The 25,291-nt window shown below is 45.3% G+C and overlaps 2 annotated features.

Moving 5' to 3' along the window:
* Window positions 1,560-2,075: an enhancer, noted in NCBI's record as "H3K4me1 hESC enhancer chr20:59443414-59443929 (GRCh37/hg19 assembly coordinates)". NCBI's record gives its function as "activates a minimal SCP1, AML or CMV promoter by ChIP-STARR-seq in naive H9 embryonic stem cells {active_cell/tissue: H9 hESC(naive)}" and the evidence as "EXISTENCE:reporter gene assay evidence [ECO:0000049][PMID:30033119]".
* Window positions 2,076-2,590: an enhancer, noted in NCBI's record as "H3K4me1 hESC enhancer chr20:59443930-59444444 (GRCh37/hg19 assembly coordinates)". NCBI's record gives its function as "activates a minimal SCP1, AML or CMV promoter by ChIP-STARR-seq in naive H9 embryonic stem cells {active_cell/tissue: H9 hESC(naive)}" and the evidence as "EXISTENCE:reporter gene assay evidence [ECO:0000049][PMID:30033119]".

Consider the following 25,291-nt stretch of genomic DNA (forward strand, 5'->3'; position numbering starts at 1 on the left):
CTTCAACATCAACCAAAATGGCAAAAACTGGAAGCAAGTTGAATGTCCCAAACTTGAGTATTTTTTAATAAATTGTGATATATACATATAATGAAATATCATGCTTCTTTGTAAACAATGTTATTAAAGAAGTTTTATCCATATGGGAAAATTCCCACAATACTGTGGGAATACAAATTTAAAAATCAGTATATGAAATACACACACAGTCACACACACATATTAGAAAACTATCAAAATTTCAACTATGGTTATTTCTGAGTTACAGACTTATAGATAATCTGTGTCTTTTTTGTTTTAAACTATATTGTATTTTTTCATATTTCAAAAATAATATTGCGTATGTAATCAAGAAAAATATTTTCTTTTTTATTCTTTTTTTTTTGAGACAGGGTCTTGCTACGTTGCCCAGGCTGGTCTTGAGCTCCTGGGCTCAAGCAATCCTTCTGCCTCGGCCTCCCAAAGTGCTGGGATTACAGGTGTGAGCCACCACACCTGGCCCAGAAGAAGAAAAGTATTTTCAAGGAGCCCAGAGTAGGGGGAGGACAGTTTTAAAGTTATTATTCTGATTCATGAGCTTTACCTTGGGAAATAAAATATCCTCATAACCTGAAAGAAAAACACAACCATTTCAACTACTTTTTAGAGAAATGAATTTTTAAAATAAACTTTGAACAACCTCATAAATAGGACAATGTTTCTTATCACTGCTGTATGATGGAGGCAACAAATGTGAAACTGAAGACTGTCAGTATCAATATTTATGGTGAATAAGATGATTCCGCTGATGAAGATGTTTATAATACACATTCTTTCAATCAACATTAACTTATCACCTATTCTTTGCCCAGCACTTACTGGCAGCAGGTATACAGGTAATCAGATAGTCAGGTCCCAGAGGATTGTGAAATACTACAAGCATCATCAGAAAACCACATAAATAAAAATAAAACTCCTACTCTGATACATGCTACAAATGAGAAAAAAAAATAATTCTCTGGGAACAAACAACAGGCTTCCAGCCATTTCCCTAAATCCACAAAGCTGGCTTTGAAGTGTCAGGCACACCTGCTGCCTTCCTAGTAAATCTGACACATATGTTTTACACCTGGACAATTCCCATTTTTCTAGCGGCGTTGGGTTGGGAATGAATTTAATCACATACATTTGAAAACTATCGGAATCCAGACCAATGCTCACCACCTGCCAGGGGCTCAGGAAGGATGGATAAGTTTCCCTTATGAGAAGAAAACAAGGGTCCATGTCCAGGATTCAAGAGTAATTTTCTCCTGCAGGGTGGGGTGCCTAGGGCTGGAGCGCTGGATAGAGAAGGGGGCTGGATTGAAACCCAGTGTCAGAGAACTGCCTAGACCAACAGGTATTGACAACCGTCCTGGGTGAAGCAAGTTCACAGATATATACCTTTGATTTAATTAATTTGTTAATTAAAATAGACCAAGCATAGTGCTGGAATGCAGTTTGCACACTTACGGATCTCACAGGGGAGGGGAAACATCTTACGGAGCTCCGGCGGGATGCCAGGGGCTGACGCAGGAGTGTGTGTCAGTGACCCTCAGAGCCAGCTCAGATAGGAAGGGCTGCAGGAGTGAGCCTTGGGGGGAACATCGAGGGTGGCCCAGAGATAGCAGCCACCGCCAACCGCTGGACACATGTCGGGAAGCCAGGCTGGACTGCAAGCCTCGGGCCGAGAGAAGGACAGTGAGGCACGTCCGGTGCTTCTGTGTGGCTCTGCATCCCACAGAAAGAACTCAGTAGAAAGGGGAGTTTCAGAAACCACGGGAGGTGGTGAAGCAGTGAGCACAGCATGCCCCGCCTGGATCATGGGCAGTGCATGGGAGAGAAGCTGTGGTCAAGTCTTTGAAAGCAACCCTAGGGATCCCACCATGTAGGAGGGGGCAATCACCCCTGAATCCTGGACTTGGTCCCTCATTTCCCTCTACGTCCCACTCACACCGTGTTATAGGTCGCCGTGAGAGCCATTTCTTCCTGGGTCTCTTTCCAGGTGTGAGAGAACTTCCACCACGCCCCTCCTGCAGCAGCCCCGTGGCTCTATTTGATCACGTCGTCTTCTGTGATGTGGCAGAAGTGCCAGTCGCAAGACGCCCTCCATCCAGACACGCAGGTGACATCATGCCCCCAGACAGCAGGGTGGGAGGGAACATCTTAAGGGGCGCTTCGCCTCCGTGACCCCCATGCCTGCAAGCCTGAACCCCTGTATGCGTTGGAAGGGAGTTCACAGCATGCCACATTCCCAGGAACAGCCCCTTTGGTAACAAAACACAGGACGACAGAATAGGAGTAAATTATTCAGTGTCTTCCTCTCACCTCTGAACGCGCTTCAGTGCAGTGGGAGCACATTGCATTTGTCCTGCCCCACTCGCCCCAGGCTGCCGCTGCGGGCTGACTGACAGCTGCCTGACAGAGCCCTCATCTGGAGGAACAGGCTGTGCTGAGCTCTGTGCGGACAAGCGCACTTTGATTCAGATTTAGCTAACATTTTCTGAGCTTCTTCCAAGTGTCAAGTGTCAGGAGGGGCTGAGCCCTTCCCTGACGGGCTGCTGAAATCCTCCTGCCTATGGGACGGGAATTGCGGCTAGGACAAATGGAAGCCTGCATGTTTGCAAAGGCACCACCGGAATTTTTTTTTTTTTTAAGGAATCAGATAGGTATGGCCCTGAATGCATGGGTTCAGGAAAGCCATAAATATATCCTAAGTATGGGAACGTTCAGTCTTCCCAATGGACCAAATGCTGCGTTAACCATGACCAGGCAGTTCAGCCCTGGTTCCTGGGCCATGGGGGTACCCACATTCTTCAGAAAAGCTTCCCCTTAGGGACGCTGGCAAAGCTTATGGGGTGGGGCTCACCACACAGGAGTGCATCCAATCCATCTGCCAATAAGCACAACTCAAAGGGGTGGGGAGGGATGTGAAAGGCACAATCCGAAAACCAGGAGGCGGGGCAGGCAGAGGGAGGTGAGCGAAGGCGTATCAGGATGTGCGATTGCATCAGGAGCCCTTTCATGAGGGAGCAAGCCTGTGCGTCATGTGTCAGGCCCTGTGAAATAACAGTAAGGAGGAAATGGAGAAGAAATGGATAGCGTGTGTGTCTGTGTTTCTGTGTGTAGGCATCCAGATGTGGGCTGGGCTCCTCTTACCCCTTCAACCTAGTTATTGGCCTAGGTGAGGTCAATCCCCAGCCCCACGACGGGAGAGCTGATGGGGTAGGGCTACTGTTTAGCTCCATCCTCCAGGAACAAGTTCAAAGTCCTAAAGGGCCTTTCCTCCCCGAAAGACTGCAGTGTGAAACATGTGAAGCACAGCATATACTATCAGTGCGTACATGCACGCACACACACAAACACACACACACAAACACACACGCACACACACACGCACACACATGCACACACACAAACATGCGCACACATGGGCACACCCACCCCCACACACAAATACACACATGCAGGTGTGCACATACATACATGCACACACACAAACATACACACAGGCACACACATACACACAGCGCACACACATATGCACACACATGCAAATCATTTCTGAGGGCACCAGACCTCTCAGAACTGTTGAGGATGTGTGGGTTACATACAGAAAGAAACAAAAATGAGAAGCATTTCTTTGAAGAGAAAACTTGTTCCACCATCCCGCCCCTTTATTTGCTCCTTACTCTCTGGCCTCTCCTTAGCTCCCAAATCCCCCTTTCACTGCTAACAGAGCGCTGGCTACGGGTGGCTGCTGTTTGAAGTGTGGCTCAAAGTCAAAGTGTTTTTTACTCAGATCCATAAAGATGGCCCCAGAACCCTTGGTAAGGGACTGTCAACAGACCCTGCCCTCCCTGCCCTCCCTCCCCACTCTCCACGCTGATGCCACCCACCAGGCCAAGTCCATAGAACATCTGCAATGATGCTCTAGGTCAGAGGGGTGCAGCTGCCCCAAGACAGCTTCAGAGCCAACTGCAGGCTGCAAGCTTGGGTGGGATGAGTCAGAAGACAACGGCCTTGTCCAGTGGCCTGGAGGTTCCACAGACACTGACAGCAGGGCCACAGCCCAAGCGGAGGGGTGCGGCAGGAGGGAGATTCAGGAAGCTCTTGGGCCAGATTTGGTGGTGGCTTCAGCTCCCTCCTGGGGAAGGAAGCCTCCTGAGGGCCGTGGCTCCAGATGACGGCTTGGCCGGCTCACAGCTGCCTCAGCACACAGCTGGGGGCTGAGAGGGGGACATTGAAAAGCCTCAGGCCTGGCCCACCTAATAATCTGCAGTCAGCACTCACATGCCCCAGTGGGGTTCCCCATGAACGGGAGCCCCTCCACCCTGCAACCACCCAGGGATTCTCCAGGCAGGTGAGCTCATCACAGACCCAAAACGCAAAGACATTGAAAATGAAGACAATATCTTTCTCGAGACCAGACGCACCCAAGACAGGTGTTTTCTAATCAGTGCAGTGCTCACTTGTGCTGGAGACCCGGACACATATTTCCCCATCACTGTCACTGACAAAGATGCCTCCTGGGATCAGCAGGTGCACCAGTTTGAAGAGCAGCTGTGAAAGCTGTCCTGGTGAAGAGTTTGAAGTTGTGGCCCAGATCCTCACTTAGGAGATTCTCTGATGTAAAAAATGCTGAAATCCTTGGGAGGTGGAACAGATTTGGGACCCTTGGATGACAACCGAAAGTTCCCAAGACCAACTTTCACTTCATGCATGCACAGGCAGGGAGAGGAGACATGGAGCCTACTCCTGGGAGGGGCACCAATGGTGGTTTCCTGTTTGAGGGTGCACGTCACCTGCCTGAAATGCCAACGGCCAGTTTCAGGAAAGTGGAGGAGACTCGTGATGTGCACGGGAGGTGGGCTCCTCTTACTTAGCCATTTATTTAAAAAAAATCATTTTTCCCTGTAATTTCTCTGCATAAAAACATCAGGCACTTGTGGGTAACCTGGAGCCCTCTCTGCCAATCCTTGCTTTATGGGCTGCAGTCAGGAGCTCATTTGCTCCAGAGAGGTCACTATAGAAACCTTAGGAGAAAGTAACTCAGAAGGATTTTCACAGCATGGAGAGCCACTCTATTTCTCCCCCTCAACCAGGCTCTTGTGTTTTCAGCATAGCCTTGGGTGAAAGCCCAGATTGGTTTCCTCAGCAGGAAAAGGATCTAGAGACAAAGGTGGCACGAGAAGTCTGATGCAGAGATGGCCAGGGCCTCAGGTGGTTCCACCTGCCCGAAAGGTGTGCCTAGGAGCTTGTAAAAGACCCTGAGCTTCTCTCTCAGCTTTGCCTGCCCTCCTCAGGGCACCTGGTGGGAACCACACATAGTTCCAAGCAAATACGCCTGAGCTTCTTATCAAGTTAAGAGAAAACAAGGCTCTTGAAGGACAGCTGTGCTTATCTGGAGTAGCCATTGAGGAGAGAGGTAACCTGGCTGGAGCGTGGCTGACCTGCAGCCTCACGTCGTAAAGTACTCGTTGGAAAGGACACTGGGCCTCTAGACATCCAGTAAAGCTGACATCCATGAGAACAAACCCTGTGCTGGCACTTGGCATTCAGAACGTTTCTATTCTCACACTTACAGGCAAGAATGCTCGCCTGCATGCCAGGCCTGTATCTGCATTTTCTAGAGAAGCTCACAGAGACTCAGAGAGATTCAGGCTCTTGGCCAAGGAGTTTGAGCCTGGTGTGCTAGACACCCCAGCCTGGGATCACCACGATGCCCTACTGCCTCTGAAAGTGAGCAGGGCACACTCAGCGGGGTGCATTTAAGATAAATATTATCAACTTCAGACTTATGCAAAGTGACTGTGAGTGACAGATTGTCCAGGGCAGCTCTGAAGTGACATGTGCCTGCAGTTATGCCACCAGGTGTTCTCATGTTTGGTCTGAAAAACAGGATGAACATAAAAATTGTTTTTTAGACTAGACATCCTTTAGTCCGAGAAGCCAAGGACTGCGAGCACTAGCTCAATGTCATTTGAGGTCCCAGATACTCATTTGCAAAAATGTTAGCCCGTGTGCCCTCTCCTGCCTTAGGACAGTTTTCCTCTTTGGAGGCTTGAAGATGTGCTGTTCTCAGAACCGTTCCTATAAAATTACAAATAGCCCAGAGAGGGACTCCGGTGTGTGCCGCTGTTGGTTAAGAAGGCCAGTTAGATGCCGTTGAGAGACTGACAAAGCCAGGTGCTGAAGTGTCATGGGTGTGCCCTTAGTGGGTATCTCAAATGTCCTTGAGGTGGTCTCACTCTTCTCTTGTGGCCCCCATGGCACTGCCTTCCATGGGCCCTGTGTAAATGCCCCCCAGTGGACCCTATTTTGAGGCCCTCTGTTGGTTCTGCATCAAGGATTTTAGTTTCTTGTTGTTCCTGCAACAAATGACCATAAATTCAGTGGCTTGCATGACACAAATTCAGTATCTTAGTGTTCTGGAGTTGAGAAGCCTGAAACGGATCTCCCTGGGCTAACACGGAGTTGTTGCAGGCCTGGGTTCCTCCTGGAGAGCCTATCCCCTGCCTTCCCAGCTCCCGCAGGCTGTGGGCATTCCTCTGCCCAGTGCCCGTGCCTTTGTCTTCAAAACCAGAAGAGCTTGGCTGGGTCCTTCTCACATGGCGTCACCCTAACCACCTCTTCCGCCTCCCTCTACTGTTTACAAGGATCCTGGTTATTATGTGGGGCCCAACTGGATAATCCAGGGTCATCCCCCATCTCGAAGTCCTTCACTTAATCCCATCTGCAAAGCCCCTTTTGCCATGAAAGGAAGCATGTTCACAGCTTGAGGAATTAGGACATGGACATCTTTAGGGTCTACTCGGCCTACCACAGGGTATTCCACAGTTGTGTGTGTGGATGTGATATTGAGGCAATTGAAGATGGCATTCTTTACCTTCTGCTTAGTTATTATTAGCATGTATATCATCTTGGACTTAATTGACCTCCTGGTGCAGGGTGTTAAGGAAAATTATTGTGTTCTGAATCATGACCTTTGGGCCAAGACGTTGGGAGACCCTGGCCCAAACAAGGACTTTCAGCTTCCTATTAGCTTTCTGCTGAAATGCATCCACAGCCAGGGCCTGTGAGACCTTGGATGGCATAGACTGAACAAGCTGTGAGGTCTGCATTTGTAGACTCGAATCTCCCATTTACATTCTTGGACTAAAACCTCGCTCCTGCTTATCATGTAATCATGGAGCTAAGCTAGGCTTGGAGAAGAGTGGCAAGAAGTTCCCACGTGCATGGAGCTGTAGTTTTTCCCACATTCCTCTTAGGAGCTGTGCCTAAGATGCTGCGCTAGCAACCTCTGTATTGTGAAGGAACTGCGTTTCCTGGATTCCAAAACACAGGAGTTGGATTCCTGTCCTTGTGAAGCCATCTCAGGGAACAGGGTGGGCGGAAGGGGCACTGGAGGCCATCATGATTGTCCTAACAGGCATTCTTCTGGCAGGAACTGGCAAGGATAGAACACAGACTTGGTCCCTGCAGCTGAAAGGGAGGAGGCAGGATGGTGATGGAAGAGGCGAAAGAAAGATATTTGCATGGGCAAGCCCAGTATTCAATAACTGTGGCAAGACTTCATCCTTACAAATCTACTTAGGGCCGACTCCACACCTGAGCCGCTTCCCAGACCTGCTGTTCTATCCCGGAAGCAGAGGGCAGCATGGCGAAGACCTGCCTCTGTCTTTGACGCTGGCACATTGATGCGATTCTTCCAAGCTCTTTGCTCCTGGGTGACCCCCATTGCACGCAGAGCCTCCACAATGTTTGGGGAGGGGGCTGAGCACACCTCTGTGTGCTTCATCCAGCCAGCCAGCCATTTATTCATTAAACAGATATCTATTCAATAACTTCGAGAGCCAGAAATTGTGCTAGTTGCTGTGGAAATAAATTCACATGACAGGCTCTCTGCTCTCTAGGTACCTGCAGTAAATTTCACTCCTAATGTCGCTAAATGTCTGTCTCTTTTTATATATATTTTATGACACTTACTGTGACTTCCAGAGCTTCTTTTGTGCTCATTTCCCATAATATTTTGGGTATTTCATTGTTTTTATACCAAAGCAAATTTGTCCAATTTCTAGTTCAAATTATTGCGTAGATCGTTGTGGACTAAGGCAGACAATAATAAAAATAGTTTCCCACTCTTGTTCTTTAACAAATTTTTCTTTTCTTTATAAGAATACATTGCTATAGTTTCATAAGCATTAAATAAAAACCATCTTTTTTGTTGTTAGACAATTCGTATTCGAATTGTTAAAATGGAATTTTTCAATATCCCAGAGCCCTCGAAGATTCCATAAAAATTTAGTTCCAAGACTATGAAAAGGAGTGAGGAATCTCTAACTCTTCAAGATACTCATTCAAAAAATTTTAGCAAACCATCGATTTCTACAAGTCCCACAAATGAAATATTGCTAAACATATTGCTGATTCAACACAAATTCCAATCAACCAGTATTATTTGCATAATTTCATTAAAATATTCACTTAAAACACTGCTTTGACAATAGGAATTCTGATGTGCAATTCATGTCCAGCTGCTCTAGTTCCAACCTGCAGCAGCAGTCAGACATGAGGTGCAAGGGGCTTCAAGGGTGGAAACCCAGACGCGAACGAGCACAGTGGCCTCGGCTCCACTTGCTGAGACATCTCTGCAAGGGATGTTGGAATGACGTCACTCCAGCAAGCCTCCCGGGAAGCTCAGAGATCTGTTCATACCTGCCCTGGCTAATCTTTAGAAGCAGGATCTGTGCACAAGGTGTGGCCGCTTCTCATATTCACAATCACTTTTCTTTTCTTTCTTTCTTTCTTTCTTTCTTTCTTTCTTTCTTTCTTTCTTTCTTTCTTTCTTTCTTTTTTTTGAGATAGAGTCTCGCTCTGTCACCCAGGCTGGAGTGCAGTGGCGTGATTTCAGCTTACTGCAAGCTCTGCCTCCCGGTTTCACGTCATTCTCCTGCCTCAGCCTCCTGAGTAGCTGGGACTACAGGCACCTGCCACCACACCTGCCTAATTTTTTTGTATTTTTTAGTAGAGATGGGGTTGCACCATGTTAGCCAGGATGGTCTCCATCTCCTGACCTCGTGATCCGCCTGCCTCAGCCTCCCAAAGTGCTGGGATTACAGGCGTGAGCCACCGCGCCTGGCCCACAATCACTTCTAAAATTGAGAGAGCTCTCTCCGATCATCACACAAACATTGTTCACTGTTTTTGAAAATGAGTCTCCAAATCTCAGACACATCTGTAAAAAGCTAGTTTAACTATTTAAACAATGAAATTAAGTAGAATGGTGGGGCCAAGAGCCTGGCCTGGACCTTCTCGCTGATCCTCTTCCTGCAAGGGACAAAACGACACCTTCATAGACCAGTGCTTTGGATTTGCCGGTCAAAAAATCACCCTCTCCTGTCCTGCATCCGCACTGATTGTAGACTCTCCCTCCAGGCTCAGCTCACAGCCCACCCATCTCCCTTTCAGCCAGGGCCCTGCAGTCAGCTACACACTCCATCCATGCCAGGATGCCCTCACGGCTCTATTCTCTCACAGTAGCCACCCATCCTCAGGCCTAGGGAGCCCCCTCCACCATCATCCTCCAATCCTGGTCCCACGTGGTCTGACGTTGCTGAAGATAGTGATGTAGCAGAGCCAGCTGCCTTCATGGCATGTTCATGCTGCCTGACCCGAGTTCAGAGGCCTTGTCACTGTCGTCCACAGCTCTTGCAAATATCTCCATTTCCACTCTGCAGAAGCCACCTCTAGCCCAGGCATTCTCTGGGTAGGCCCATGCTGTCACCTGCAAAAGAACCACCTGAAAATCTCATTGGAAAACTGGTTCCTGGGCCTCAAGCTAAAAACAACTCTGTTTTGGCATATCTGAAGTGGAGCCCGAGAATGTTTATTTCTAACAAGCTCCCGGGAGGAGGGTGGTACTGCTGCTAGCCTAGACTTTGTTGAGAATAGTATGGATGCAGAAGGGTCTCGTGCCTCCTGGACTCTAAAGACCATAAGAGCCACCTGAGGACTCTATGAACATGCAGACTCTGCTTCTGTGAGCCTGGGGTGAGCACAAGCATCTACATCTGAACCAGCATCCCCGCTGCTGCCACTGCTGCTTGTCAGGTCACACTTTGAAGCTCAAGACGGGAGATGACTTCAACCTCCTGACAAACCCCTTTCCTGTCCTCTCCCCCACCTCCACATTTCAATCTATTTATACCAACTCCTTTCAGCCTCCTCTCCAACCTGATTCTATTACGATATTATTGGCTTAGCACAGCATAAGGACGGCGATTACAGGATATGCATCTTCCCTTCTCACATCTGAGGCAGACGTCGCTAATCCATCCTGGTACTATTTTGTGCTGAGCCCAGACATAGAGACATAATCCCTCTTGCTGTAGTGTGCCAAGCAGCTCCCTCCAGTCTCCCCAGCCTGTCACATGCCTTCCCTCGGGATGGTGCTTGGGACTGTTGTGAGCTCTCCATGGCTTTATCCTGCCTCGTGGGCCATGCATGCCGGTGAAGCCAGACGGTGTGCTGCCTTAACCCACAATCCACCAACTGTGACAGGCTGACCCCAACCACCATTCTAATCCCTTGCAATCCACTGTTTTCCCTCTGCGTTTGGGTAGCACTTGGCATATACGGTAGCCACCTGCATCACATTCCTGGTTGCACTCCAGTGTGTAAGTGTGTACATGTTTGGATTGTTAAGTCATCTCTCTAGGTGGAAATACAACTGGATGTCAGCAACAAAGCCCTCATCACCTTTCTGCCCCCTGCACTGAACAGCTCAGAGCCTGCGACATGGCCTATCTCATTAGGAGCTGTGACATCAGCCAGGTCTCAGAATGAGGAAACACATAGATGACAGCCACACCCACACCACAGCCCCCAGCGTGTCACTTGACAGACAGGTAGCATGGCCATTGTCTGGGGACTATTTGTTACTGCACCAAATGAACTAACGCAGCTCTTATTCTTGCTAGGACTCAGAAAGGCTCCAGGGAAGAGCCCAAACTTCCCTCTGCTTGAGAGAGCCGCAGGGAGTCTAGGGAGGCCAGAAGGGCAGGCATTGTCTGGTGGGTTACATGAGGAGGATGTGCAGTAAACGGGTGGTCCCGCTGACAGCCGCCTTGGCAAAAAGGACAGAGTCCAGAAGAAACGGAGACTCATCATGGGATGGGCTCCACTTGGCATGGGAGGCTGCATGGGGCAAACACAGAACAAGCCCAGGAAACCACATGGAATCCACTGCAGTCACCAATAGTCCCCAGGGGAAAGGAATTAACCATAGAGGCGAAGAAGAGAGAAAAACCTAAGGAGGAAGGCAATAACCTTGAACGTGACTACATTTTAAACTTGAATTAACAAAGACATCACAGGATTGGATAGAACCCACTTACAAATGACTTCACTAATTTTCTGTTATTAAGGAAAATGTGGGCTTTTGATAGACACAAGTCAAGTTATGGGAAATGGAATAAAGCTACACTTTTTTTTTTTTGCACACTCACGTTTTATAAAGTTTTTTTGACTGTGAGTAAAATTCGTCTCTATGCCACACATAGAGACCGGCATATTTTCACAAGCTCTTGGTCTTAGGTATTTGAAAATTCAAGGGCTAAAGAGAAGTGCAGAATTCCCCCTGGGAAATTGACACAACATGTTAGAGATAAAAATCAAAGTGATTCTTCTTTTAGACCGAGTCTCCCCGGGAAATAGGTGTGAGCGCTTCACCTCGGAGGGAACTTGCTGCCAAGTAGTTGGAGATGCTGAATCTCCTTTTTCTAGGAGTTACACTGATGCTGACAAATGCTCTTTTCAAATGATTGATTCCCCAACATGTGAGAATCTGAGTTAAATCTGAACCTCACAGCACAAGCTCAGAGCCTGAGATGAAAAGCTAACACTCCATGCCCTGCCTGGCCTTCTGCCTGTGTTAGAGAGGGTTCTACCTTTCAGAACTGACTTTGTGGACACAGGGAAACAGAGTATGATCTTTTTTGGCAGTTCACACAGCAGCGATGGGTCCTGCAGCCATTAAGGTAAATGATGCTTCCACGCTATTTTAGCCTCAAAGTGCAAGTTCCCAACACGGCAAGCCATCCATTGGAGAGCAATCTACCTGGAGATAGGGGTTGGCGGATAGCCCTAAGGAAAGACAACATCTTACCTGAAGTGAAGGAGGCACTGAGGGATGTCCCCAAAGAACCGCTTGATTGGCTTGGATTCAAATGGTATCAATAAACATTTATGATCTTAAAATTGTAATTTCTTATTTCAGTGGCAGTGAATGCTTTCAGAGCTTGGGTGTTCAAGGGAGTCATTTTAAATTGGATTAGTGAGGGCAACTGCAGATTTCCCAAGGAACACATGTGGGTGCAGGGCCAGGTTGCCACCATCGCTCCAGTTCTGCAACCAGAACTGGGGTGATCTGACCAAGTCTTCTTTCTTTCTTTCATCTGGATTCCCGGTTTAAAAAGCAAATGCGCAAAGCATAATAAAAGGAGAAGAAATATTAAACTGACGAATGGGAAAGGAGACAAGGTGACAGGTATTTGGAACTGGAGAAGTGTTTTCAGGCTCGACTCACAAACACCAACACCATGTCTTTCTAATGTTGATGACAATCTAAAGAGACAGGGCTGGAAGTTTCCTTTAAGATCTTGGAGGCAATTGTTACCAAATCAGAACACTCCCACTGGGCTTACGGTGTTCTCCAGACTGACAAAGAATCAGCCAAGATGTTTCGTGGTTTATCACCAAATGATTGTCACATAGTGTCTTTTCCAATCAACTGGAACATATCTCAAGAAATGAACAGGTTATGAGAGAAAGCACCACCCTACAGAGGAATAATATAAAATACTGCCTCAACCCTGCCACACAACTGACCCAGTCTGGGGTGTCTTTAACCACAGGGAATAATTTGGGTTGATTCTTTCCATCCGTAGACAGTATTTCCTACATGTATCTTTGTAACTTCAAAGTTTTGTAGGGTTCCAGCAAATTCATCCTGTGACAATAATCTAGTGTAGATTAATCCACAGGTTAACCCACAAATCCTGGATTCAGCAGCCTCCGGCTCCACCAGCTCAGATGACCATGTAGAGGACAAGCCTTCCTTCGTGCACACAGGTTAGAAGCAAGGCTGCACCCTCATTTGCTGGGGACTAAACTGGAGAGAAGACAGTGATAGGGGTCTTGAGGACCCCCACATCCATTTCTCCATGGGAGAACACATTCCCATGCCATGGTATGGCTTCCCAGAGCTGTATGGGTTTGAGGGAGTGGGATTCTAACATAGAGAAATGAGGTTCCAGGGAACCCAACTCATCATAAAAGACAGAGGGGTGTTTGTGATGCTATAAAAACCAGTCACCATAAAAAAGAATAAGATCTTGTCCTTTGCAGGAACATGGATGGAGCTGGGGGCCATTATCCTGAGTAAAGCAATTCAGGAACAGAAAACCAAATACCTCATGTTCTCACTTGTAAGTGGGAGCTAAATGATGACAACTCATGGACACAAAGGGGAAAAACAGACACTGGGGCCTACTTGAGGGCGGAGGGTGGGAGAAGGGAGACAATCAGGAAAAATAATTATTGGGTACTAGGTTTAGTACATGGATGACAATATAATCTGTACAACAAACCTCTTGTGACATGAGTTTACCTATATAACAAACCTGCACATGTACTCCTGAACCTAAAATGAAAGCTTTACTTTTTTTATTTTAAAAATGAAATACAGTTCATTTAACTTTAAAATAAAAATCAAAATCAGGCACCATCGCCGCTTTGGGGAAAGTGGTTTCACTAACAAAGGCTAATGTTGAGGACCCACAAAGTTCAAACCCACTGTCTCGGGGCTGGGAGGACCACATCTGACCCACTTCAGATGGGTGCCCAGTAAGAATGTAGTAAGTGGATGACTGTGTACCTGCACGTCCTGGCATGATATCCTCAGCTAGGACGATACCCTCAGGCCCTCTCAAGGCAGTTTTCACCATTATTAAACAGTTTGAGCATTAGAAAATCCTTTTCTATATCAAACAAAAATATAAACACAGAAGGGCAAAGGGCGAACCAATTTCATTTCTATTGAATAGAAACTACAAATGAAGTACAAAGGATCACGCTGAGCCACAAGCCATATTTCCACTAGACTGCTAGATTTCTCTACTTAGGTGTCCCAAAGAAAATGGATTATAGGAAAGTCTCAAGAAAACTGCCCTAGTCCTAAGGGTGTTAACCACAGAGAGATTTTTTTCCCCGCCTCCTAATAGTAATACATATGCAAAATGCTTCTACACATTTTGCTTCCAAACGAGGTATGCCAAAAGTCACTTCTCCCTTTGTAAGTGAAGCCATATTTGCATAGAGGAAAAAGCAGAATGTATTTCAGTCTTTGTTAGGGAATCTTGCTAGTTTGACGTACAGGTTGTATTTTTTTTAATATTTTAATTTTAATTTTAAGTTCCAGTGTACATGTGCAGGATGCACAGGTTTGTTACATAGATAAACGTGTGCAATAGTGGTTTGCTGCACTTCTCAACCCATCACCTAGGTATTAAGCCCAGCATGCATTAGCTATTTTTCCTAAAACTCTTCCTCCCTGCCCACCCTCGGACAGGCCCCAATGTGTGTTGTTCCCCAACCTGTGTCCATGTGCTCTCATTGTTCAGCTCCTATTTATTAGTGAGAACATGCAATGTTTGGTTTTCTGTTCCTGCGTCAGTTTGCTGAGGATAATGGCTTCCAGCTCCATTGTGTTCCTGCAAAGGACAGGATCTCATTCTTTTTTATGGCTGCATAGTATTCTGCGGTATATATGTATCACATTTTCTTTATCCAATCTGTCATTGATGTCATTGATGGGCATTTGAGTTGATTGCATGTCTTTGCTATTGATTGTGAATAGTGCTGTAATGAACATAAGTGTGTATGTATCTTTGTAATAGAATGATTTACATTCCTTTGGGTATATAGCCAGTAATAGGATAGCTGGGTCAAATGGTATTTCTGGTTCTAGGTCTTTGAGCGTGTTTTTTTTTTTAAGGCAAATCTCTTTGGTAGGATTTGCCTAGGGGAAGACATTGGCAGGATAAGGTGGACTGTGGTAGTCCTCATCTGCATGCACATATTTACACCAAGCAAATCTTTTAGTACCCATGCCAAAGACCCATTCCAGAGCAATTCACTAGCATCTCTGCAGGCAGAGTCTGGGCATCGACGAGCATAAGTTTCTCAGGTGATGAATGCATGGTCAGAGCTGAGAACCACTGTTTTCATAGAAGACTGTGCTGGGGAAGTCGTGACGAAACTGTATTTTCAGTGTCCCCCTTGCTTTGGGGGAAATTACAGGATTGCTGCAGCGCTGGAATTGTACTTAGCTGAGGATTGAGGGCCTTGGCCTCTGCTGGGAACTCCGCAGTGTGGATGAGCATCACGTACTTAGGGCCGAGAACACTCACACAATTGAAGTTCCCACCTTCAGGCTGAGGCCCTGCGGGTAGAATTTAAATATTATCAGATGTTCATCTAGAAGGGATTCAAAAAGAGTGTGAAGTGTTTATGGATTTTGAATTCTTGATGTTCTGAAATTATAATTTTGTTGTGTTTAAAATAACTAGAGGGTGGCCCACAGAACAGAGTGGGGGATATTGCTGACTTGGATAGATTTCCAAACTCAACTAGATAAAAATGTCCACAGATGGGCTCACTGGGGTCCTGTTTAATCTGTTCCCCATCCAGAATCCTCTGTCTCAGCCTTTGGCATTAGGAAAATCCACCCCTCCCAGAGAAGTGAAAACCTGCTTCCCACACCCCCTCAGCCACCACCACTTCCCACTGAATCCAGCATCTGCCCCTTGTTCAGATCATCCTAGCTCCCGCATCCCCTGCCAGCGGGAATACCCGCCAGACTCTCGGGACCTCCTTGCCTCCTGTCCACCCCAAGACCCATTCCTCACACTGGCTAAAAACTAATCAGCCCTGTCACTGCTGGCTGAAAATACTTCTAAACTTGCTCAGTAAGAAAATCCCCTGGGGTGCTCATTAACAGTTCAGATGCTTTGGTCTCAACAGACCTACTAATCTGAATCTCCAGGGAGGGTCCCTAGAATTTTGATTTTTTTCAACCCTGCCCCCAGCTATTTCTCATGACCAGGCTTGAGGCAGTGACCCGAGGAAGCATGGAAGGACCTCCAGCTCCATTTCTCTCCTCTCCGAGTCCTCAGCACATAACCAGCGTTCAGGCGGATACTCGTTCAATGCAGGAATTAATGAGTCACAATTTATGGTTCAGCAACACTGACCTATTTATACTCACCACGCCTATCAAGTTTTTTTATTTTATCTCCACACTTGTTATTTTTCATCTGCCTCTGTACTTACCAGGTCTCTATATAAATGTCTATTGATGTGATGTCTCCCATTAAAATGTGAGTTTCTTCTGGATAAGAGTTATCTTTATCCACCCGTCCTTAACAGGGAGCACAGTGGCCAGCAGACAATAGATTCTCAATAAATATGCATGCCTTTAATGTGTGACGATCCCTGGTGGCAATGCAACCCACACACCCAGGGTCTCCAGAGGAAACTCTGGCCCACACAGGTTAAGTGACTTGTATAGGACACACAGCAAAAGCAAAACAAAACAAAACAACTAGCTTTCAAAACAGTTGTGGTATTTTGTGCTTTCGAGAATATTCCCAGAATTCTTAGAAGAAAAAATGAGAAGACAAATGTAAATATCCCATGACAGGGTAGCAGGGCGCCAGGCAACTGCTCTGATGCCAGGAGCAGGAATAAGTGCTGTGAAAGCACAGGGAGGCTTGTGGTGACTGAGAGTGAGATACTGTGCTGTGAGCCCTGAACCTGCACCTGCTAATGTGGTCATGTCACTTCTGCTGGAGGCTGATCCTCAGAGCCACAAAGCCAACATCCACCGACAAATAGCTCAGCACCAGCTTTCCCTGCCTAGCACCTGAGCAAGCACTGGGGGAACCCACAAGGAAGGAAAAGGGAGCCACAGATTTTCAGATGTCTCGAAAGTAATAACAAAAGAGGCTTATAATAAGAAGACTTAATTTTATTCTTAAAGTTTGACAAGAAAAACTGATTAGAACATAGTATACACACAGACATACATGTGTACATACATACACACATGTGTGAATGTATATACATGTAGATACATATGTATATGTGTATGTTAAGGAGATATGACATATATGTTATATGATATATATGTGCACACATTTATTGAGCACTTACCATGTATCTGATACCGTGTTAAGCAAATTAGGCCCATAATTTAGTTTAATCATTATAACCACCCGCACCAAGAAGGCACTGCATGCTATTTTAGTGGAGAAATTGAGGGGTGGAGAGATTAGATGACTTGGCTAAGGTCACACAACTAGTAGGCAGTGAGCCTGAGATGTAAACTAGAATCTTTCAGAGTCCAGAGTCCAGAGTCCAAACTCTTAACCGCACTGTCATCAGCATGATGGTAATGATGGTGATGATGATGACGATGGTGACAATTATGGTAATGGTGATGGTGATGATAATGATTCTGATGATGATAATGATGTAATGTTGATGATATAGTGATGATGATGGTGACAATGGTGGTGATAATGATGATAGCGATGGTGATGATGACAGTAATGATGATGGTAATATGGTGATGATGATGTTGATGGAGATTATGGTGATAATGATGGTGGTAGTGATGATGGTAATGGTAATGATCTTGGTGATGAGGGTGATGATAGTGATGCTGATGATGATAGTGAGGTTTATGATGGTGTGTGATGATGATGGTGATGATGGTAATGGTGAAAATAATAATTGTGGTGATGATGAGGTTGTAATGTTGATAACATGGTGATAATGATGATGATAGTAATGATGATAATGATAATGGTGATGATATCAATGATGACGATGATAATGGTTATTTTCTTGATGATAACGATAAGATGTTGATAGTAATTACAGTAATGAAGATGATGGTGTTGGTATTGATAATGATGTGCAGTTAACATTTATTGAGCACATGCTATGTATTGAGCACTGTTCTAAGCACTTTTAATGAACAACTTGTTTGGTCCCCACAGTGACTTATCTTTGTTCTCATGTTAGAGTTGAGGAAACTGAGGCACAGCGCATTTTTAGTTTGCCAGGTTTACCAATGACTGGGAGAATGGGGATTAAATCTAGGCTGCCTGGCACTAATGCCTCACTCAAATGTCTAATGCATCTCATAATAAGACTATAGACTGACTAGTGATAAGAAAAAATAATTAAAACATCCTGATGAAATTGTAAGGGGTGAAACAATGGCTCATACCGAAAAGACACTTTTCCAAATGATTAAGGAAGGGTCTGGACTTGGAGAGCACTCACCTGGTGATAAGAATCTTTCAGAAGGAAGTTGGGGTCTTAGACCACTGTCTAGCAAAGCACACTGTTGATTAAACACAGGAGGACCAGAAAGCGCTGGTAGACAGAGGGAAGAAAGTTCAGCTCCAAGGCTCCTTCAAAGGTGGCTTTTGTGATAAACTCAGGCTGGGTCCTTTTCCCTGCATAACCTTTCCACCCAGGCCAGGGGAGTCAGCTTTAGGTTTAAGCAGTGACACCAGCTTTGTGATGTTAGAGGCAGCAGCTACCCTGGAGTTGTCAGGCTGGTGATGGCCAGGCCCTCCCCTCTGGTCAAGTGGGACTATGTGTTCTCTCCACCTTCCCTTGACCCTAAATGTTCTATCCAGGGGACAGAGCAAATGCTCTGGCCCAGGGGATGAGCAGCATGGTCCAAGCAGGGATAAAGGGTGAAGCCACAACAAGGATCAGGGAATAAAGTGGACACGTACAGGGAGATGGCAGCCTTTCTACCTGAGGACAGTGCTGACCAAGCCAACAGAATAACCCTGGGTCCACTTACCTGGGCAATTCTCCACTGGTGACAACTTGGTGCCTAAATGGCTCAAACTAGAGGAATCGTGTGTGGGGGGTGGTGGGGAGGTGGGTGTGCAATGGCCCACGTGTGTGTACATATGGTGTAATGGTGTATACCTGTGACATACCCTGGAACAGCCATAAGCAGCTTCCCAAATGGGACTCTATGCAGGGAACATTCACATGGCTTCCTGCTTTGCAAAAATTTCACAAAATTCCTTTTACATCCTTGATTAACCTGGGTTTTGGAGGGATGGAATGTAGAATTTTCTGGTTAAAGGAGGATTTCCGTTAAAAAATGTTCTATATATTATTGAAGGTTTTCCAGACTTGAATGGTGTTTTAAACAATATAAAGTCAATATAAGGTTAATAAACATATTTCAGAAGGAGAAAAAAGGAAGAAGGCAAGAATGAAGGAGATGAGAAAAAAGAATAAAAGAGGAAGAAAAACAGTGAAAAGAGAAACTCACAGCTAGCCTTGTACAGCCATAAGTTTTACTAGCATTTGGGCATTTCCCTTCTGATCTATTTTCTGTTTACAGATTTTTTTAAGTTTGTTTTTACAACAATTGTAATCAGAGTGGATAGACAGCTTTGCAACTGGTTACTTCTATTAACACATTGCAAACATTTTCTAAGTTGTTATGCTCCATAAATATTATTTTAACACATTGTATTTTTTATTATTGTGCCTATAATTATATATTATTATATATTAACTCTGGAGAAAGTAGAAACAAATGTTATGCAAAAGGAAAAATTAAATTGAATTATAATTTCAAGACTTAAAAATAAGCACTATTATTCAGGCAGGTATTCATTCAATATACATAGAAGAAGAGCTAATATACAGATACAGACACATCCACGGATACAGACAAGAGTAACTTCACCCACCGCATATATTTTGTATATAGACAAAATGGGATCATAAGTCACACACTGTCTTTAACTGATTAAAGTGCCATTAAGTGTTGAGTTTTGTTTAATGGCCAAATTTACTTCCATATCTCTCAGGGAAAGACAAAAAAAAAAACGATAAAAGATTGATTAGGGAGTAGCTCCTTTGCTCTGCCTATTTAAATTATTGCAGGCTCCACGGTTTTTATTTCAAATATCCATTCTCTTCTACCAGCTGCTCCAGGTAAAGGGGAAAGTCCTTGCTTCCTGTTTAGAGCCTCGCCTCTATGCCATATCAGCCCTTTATTGACCCACCCACCACCCACTTCCACCTTGTGAGACAGGTGTGCAAAACTAGGTCCTCCAGAGGTGGGCACCCTGCCCCAAGTCACACTACCAGGCAGTGGCTGAGCTAGAATTGATCACAAAACAGAAAGGGCCATTGGACTTCCAAGCCCTGCTTTCACCACGAATCTACTCTGCGTCTCCATTTATTTGCATTTCACTGGGTTTGCTGCTGAAGGAAGGATGTGTGGAGTGTTTATTCTGTACTGCACACTCAGAAAATGAAAGATAAAACTACCAGGACTTCAGGTGCTGCCTGTAAGTGATTTTTATCTTTGGATGAATATAGGTGATCCTCGACTTACTATGGTTTGATTTACAAATTTTCCATTTGCAATGGATTGATGCAGACATAACCCCGTTACGATGGGGTCAAGGAGTATCTATAAATACCAACCTTGAAATGTACAATGTAAATAACTGACAGAAGTATTAATATCCAGAATACAGAGAAAACTCCAGCAAACAGGCAAGAAAAAGGAAAGGCGGTTAATAAGGAAATGGATAAAAGTTAGGAATAGACACTCTAAAGAAGGAAAAATCCTGGTTAATAGGGATTGAAGAGTTGCACAGAGTCACATCAAGAAAATGAACATTGAAATACCATGAGATATGACTGTCTACCCAATAGGAAGAGGTCTGAAAGTTATAGGATGATAAGGGTTGTGGAGGAGCCCTGTCAGCTGCTGGTGGAAGTGAAAACTGCCGTGGAGAAAAGCTGGGGAGTATCTGGTGACTCGGAGAACCTCAGTCCCACATTTGCTCTTTCACAAAAAAAGAAGCTTTCACAGACAAAAACACCAGTTAATAGATGAAAGGATGTTGGTCACAGTATTAGTTTGATAATAGAGTTAGAGATAACCTAAGTGAGCATTAGGAAAGGAGGGCATAGGCCGAGTGCGGTGGCTCACGCCTGTAATCCCAGCACTTTGGGAGGCTAAGGTGGGTGGATCACGAGGTCAGGAGATCGAGACCATCCTGGCTAACATGGTGAAACTCCCTCTCTACTAAAGATACAAAAAATTAGCCGAGCGTGGTGGTGGGCGCCTGTAGTCCCAGCTACTCGGGAGGCTGAGGCAGGAGAATGGCCTGAACCTGGGAGGCAGAGCTTGCAGTGAGCCGAGATCGCGCCACTGCACTGCAGCCTGGGCGACAGACCGAGACTCCATCTCAAAAAAAAAAAAAAAAAAAAAAAGGGAGAGGATAAAGTGTGTGAAATAGTCAAAGAATTATTCAAAGACCGTCTATCTGTTAAAGAGTAGGAAGTATAAATCAACACAATGTACCTGAAAGATACCTTGAGTGAAAACAGGAGAAGCAGAATGAAGTACATGACAAAATATGCTTTTCTGGTATATAAGACAGGGAACCTCTTTGGAAGAAGGCTGAAACTGAGGGTGGGAGATAAATAAAATTTAAATAAATAAAAACTATGTGCATGACGGCAGCATTGTGCTGCAAATTGAGGATTATAACCAATCCAGTTTTGCACACATAAGGATGAATGGGTCGGGGTAAACATTTGATATGAATTTGTTGCATCTTTTCTTGAATTTAGCTACTAAAGCCCAAGTGCTTTGCAGGTGGGGGTAGTCCCCATCCGTTGCACACTTCTGGGTGATGAATTCTGCTCAGTTGACAGTTTTCTGCCTTTCTCAAAGATCACATTTGGAGTTTGGGCTTAATCTATCATGCTTCCAAAAGAACAGCAAAAAAAAAGAATAATAAATGGCAGACTAAATGGCAAGTAGCTCCCTCAACTCATGTCTGGGTGCTCGCTGCGAAGACTCTGAGGCATCCGTTTGAAAAGAGTGCCAGGAACTGATGACTATGATTTGATCCTGCCTTTGCAGGGCCTTGTTGTTGGAGGGATTCATCATGCGTAGGAATTATTTGTGCCTTAGCTAGAAGCCAAATGCTCTGCATTCCGCATTCGGGAAGAAGCACATGGCCGCCATTTCTACTCACTTACCCCGGAGATAAATGACAGCTTTACATGGACAGATGCAGTCTGTTTGCTGGCTTCCATCTGGTTTTTAAATCACTCAAAGAAAGCTCCAAAGACACATTTTTATGCTGCATAAAATACACAGAGGAGAAGAAAAGCCTGGGCTTCACACATTTGTTATTTCATTATTTGTGTTGCCTTTATAAAAGGAAAATCATGGAGTCATTTCCCCAATTCTTTTGACCTCTGAACATTCATTGCAACCTCTTAAATTTGATGTCTTCTTCCTAAATGTCCTCTCTGAAATTGCCCGATAATTCACTCTTTATGCAGCTCTGACAGGGAATGAGAACATTTCTACTTTAAACAGCTCGGGGCACCTGAGGAGGGAACTCAGGAAAACGCATACTGCTTCGTTTTGGAGAAGAACATGCAGAGTTCCTGGCCAGCACTGTGCAGCCACGACTCCCCTCCCCTCGGACCAAGAACAGAGACTTGACTATTGTGTCCTTCACTCGTGCCCCACATGCCAAATGGCTCTATGACCCCCTTCGTTGGTTCAGACTCTGCCCTATAACTCAGGTGTCCATCCTTCTGCTGGCCTCACACCCTCTGCCTGGCCAAGGCAACAAAGGTCTGCTGAGTTCTTGCTCCATGTGGAGCCAACCCTGGGCTCTGAGGATCCACCTCTGAGCGAAAAAGCCACTCAGGGCTCTACTCTCATGGAGTTTGCTTTCTATAGTCGGGAGGGAGACAGAGCAGAAACAAATTAGTGACACGATGGTCATCCTTAGGAATAAACGCTGTGAAGAGAACAAAAAAGGCTCCATGACCTGCAGTGACAGCTAGGCAGAGAAGAAGGAAGGATGAAGTGAAGACATTTGTCCTGGGTGGCCAGGTAGGACCTGCCTTTGCAAGAGATATTTGAACTGGGACCTGAAGGATCATAAGAAGCCGCCACACACAGACATGGGGAAAGTGGATTCAGGCAGAGCAAACAGAAGTGCAAAGGCCCTGAGATGGGAACTAGTGTGGCATGTTCAACTAACAAGAAGTCCCAAGGGGCTGAGGGGTGCCAGGCACAGGGATTAACTCTACTCAGGCTCCATTCTTTTCCGGAGACCCCCCACACACCCCCCAAGCCCAGGATCATGGCCCTACACACCACTCCCATGGCATGCATGTCTTTGTCACAATTGTTACGTTTTTCCAAAGATTTTGATGTCTTTTTAGAATTGTATCTCTAATTCCTAACACAGAACTTAGTACATAGTAGGCACTTTGTACATTCATGTCAAATGAATGAATGAACAAACGCACTGCACAGTATCCATCAGTGTGATCACCGCCATGTTGGAAGATGCCAACTACAAGGGCAGCCAATATAACTGGGTCTTTCTTCTTGCCACAGGCCCTGGACCTCTCAATATTAAAATGATCCCCTACCTCCTCTGACCCCTTCCAACATTGGAGTTTGGTGAGAATAATAAAAATAGCTAATGCTTATGGAGCAGATACTATCTGCCACACAATATGCCCTTAACATACATTTTCTAAATTAATACTCACTATCTCCACCCTGCAAATGAGGAGCGAAAGCCAGTCAAGGTAAGTATTGGCCCAAGGTCATGCAGTATTGGCCCAAGGTCATGCAGCTAGTAAGGGCTGGACCCTGCACAGATGTGAATCCAAATATTCCTGATTCTTAAGCCCATAGGCTTACCTCCCAGATCCTGCTCTCAAAAGCATCTGGGGCCTGAGTGCAAGGAAAAGATCAGGGGTCAGGGAGTCAGGGTGGGGGGAGGCCAGCAAGCACCTGGGGTCAACAGGGTGACAGAGAAGAGAGGACTGAGAACTTGCTCCTCAGCACCTGTGTTTTGCAGGCTTGAACTCAGCTGTGTTCCATAGGGTTCCTGTCCTGCTTGAGGTTAACACTAAGAAACACTGAGCCCCGGGCCCTTCAGGTGAACTGGGGACAGACACCTCCTTCAGGGAAAAGCCTGATGCCTTTCATCTTGGTGCCAGACAACTTTGTTACTGAGCATAAAGATTGATTACTCTCCTTGCTTTGAAGGCTCTAGTCTGTGAGGTCTTAAGCAAATAATTACTGACTTGAAGTCAACTTTTTGTTATCCTTCTTTCCTCTCTTCTCCTCTCTGCCTCTCATCTCCCCCTCCTTCTCTTTCTCCCTTACCTCCTGCTGAGCCTGGCCTTTTGACAATAGGCAGAATTGATCTCAAACCCCTCCAAGTTTGACCCAAAACAGCTTCCAGTGTGATGCTTGCTCTCTCTCCTTCTTTCCCACTGAGAAATCCGAGGCCCTAGGGCAGAGGTCAGAGGGTTTTTGTTGTTGTTGTTGTTGTTGTTTTTGTGTGTGTGTGTGTGTGTTTAATTTGTTTTGCTTTCTATAAAGGGATGAGCAGTAAACACTTTAGGCTTTGCAGGCCATTCAACCTCTATAGCAACTACTCAACTCTGCTGTTGTAGCATGAAGACAGCCACAGACAACACATAAATGAGCATGGCTGTGTTCCAATAAAACTTTATTTATAAAACGTGAGCTGAGGGCCAGATTTGGCTGGCAGGTCACAGTGTTCCAAACCCTGACCTATAAGAGGTGTCATCCTAAGAAGGAAGGATCTTGGACTCCTGAGTCATCACTTGGGAGGCCACCTTCCAGACATCTGCATTGAAAGAAATCACTTTTATTGGATTAAGAAACATACCAAGAGTTTGTGTTGTTGACTATGAAATGCAGTCTACCCTGACTAGGATTGTTACTCTTTTATCTTCTTTGTACTGTTTTGTAGTGTTTTCTTTTTCTTTACACACATATTTTTATTAACTTCATTTTTTGGGATGTGATTGTTTGCCTGAAAAGTAGTTTCCATTTTAGATGGCTGCCTTATTAGAAAACCCTTGATCACTAGAATTTTTTGAAACTTAGACATGCATCTCTGCATTCCATCTGTATCAGCCAATGCCATTCTGTAAATTCCCTCCTCGAAAACTAACCACATGATTTTCTGTGGTATCATATGCAGCAAGATTACCATAGTTAGAACCAAAGACTAAAATACATTGCTCCAAATTTAATTAAATTTGAATTCAA

Source organism: Homo sapiens, chromosome 20 (assembly GCF_000001405.40).
Source record: "Homo sapiens chromosome 20, GRCh38.p14 Primary Assembly".
Taxonomy (NCBI): domain Eukaryota; kingdom Metazoa; phylum Chordata; class Mammalia; order Primates; family Hominidae; genus Homo; species Homo sapiens.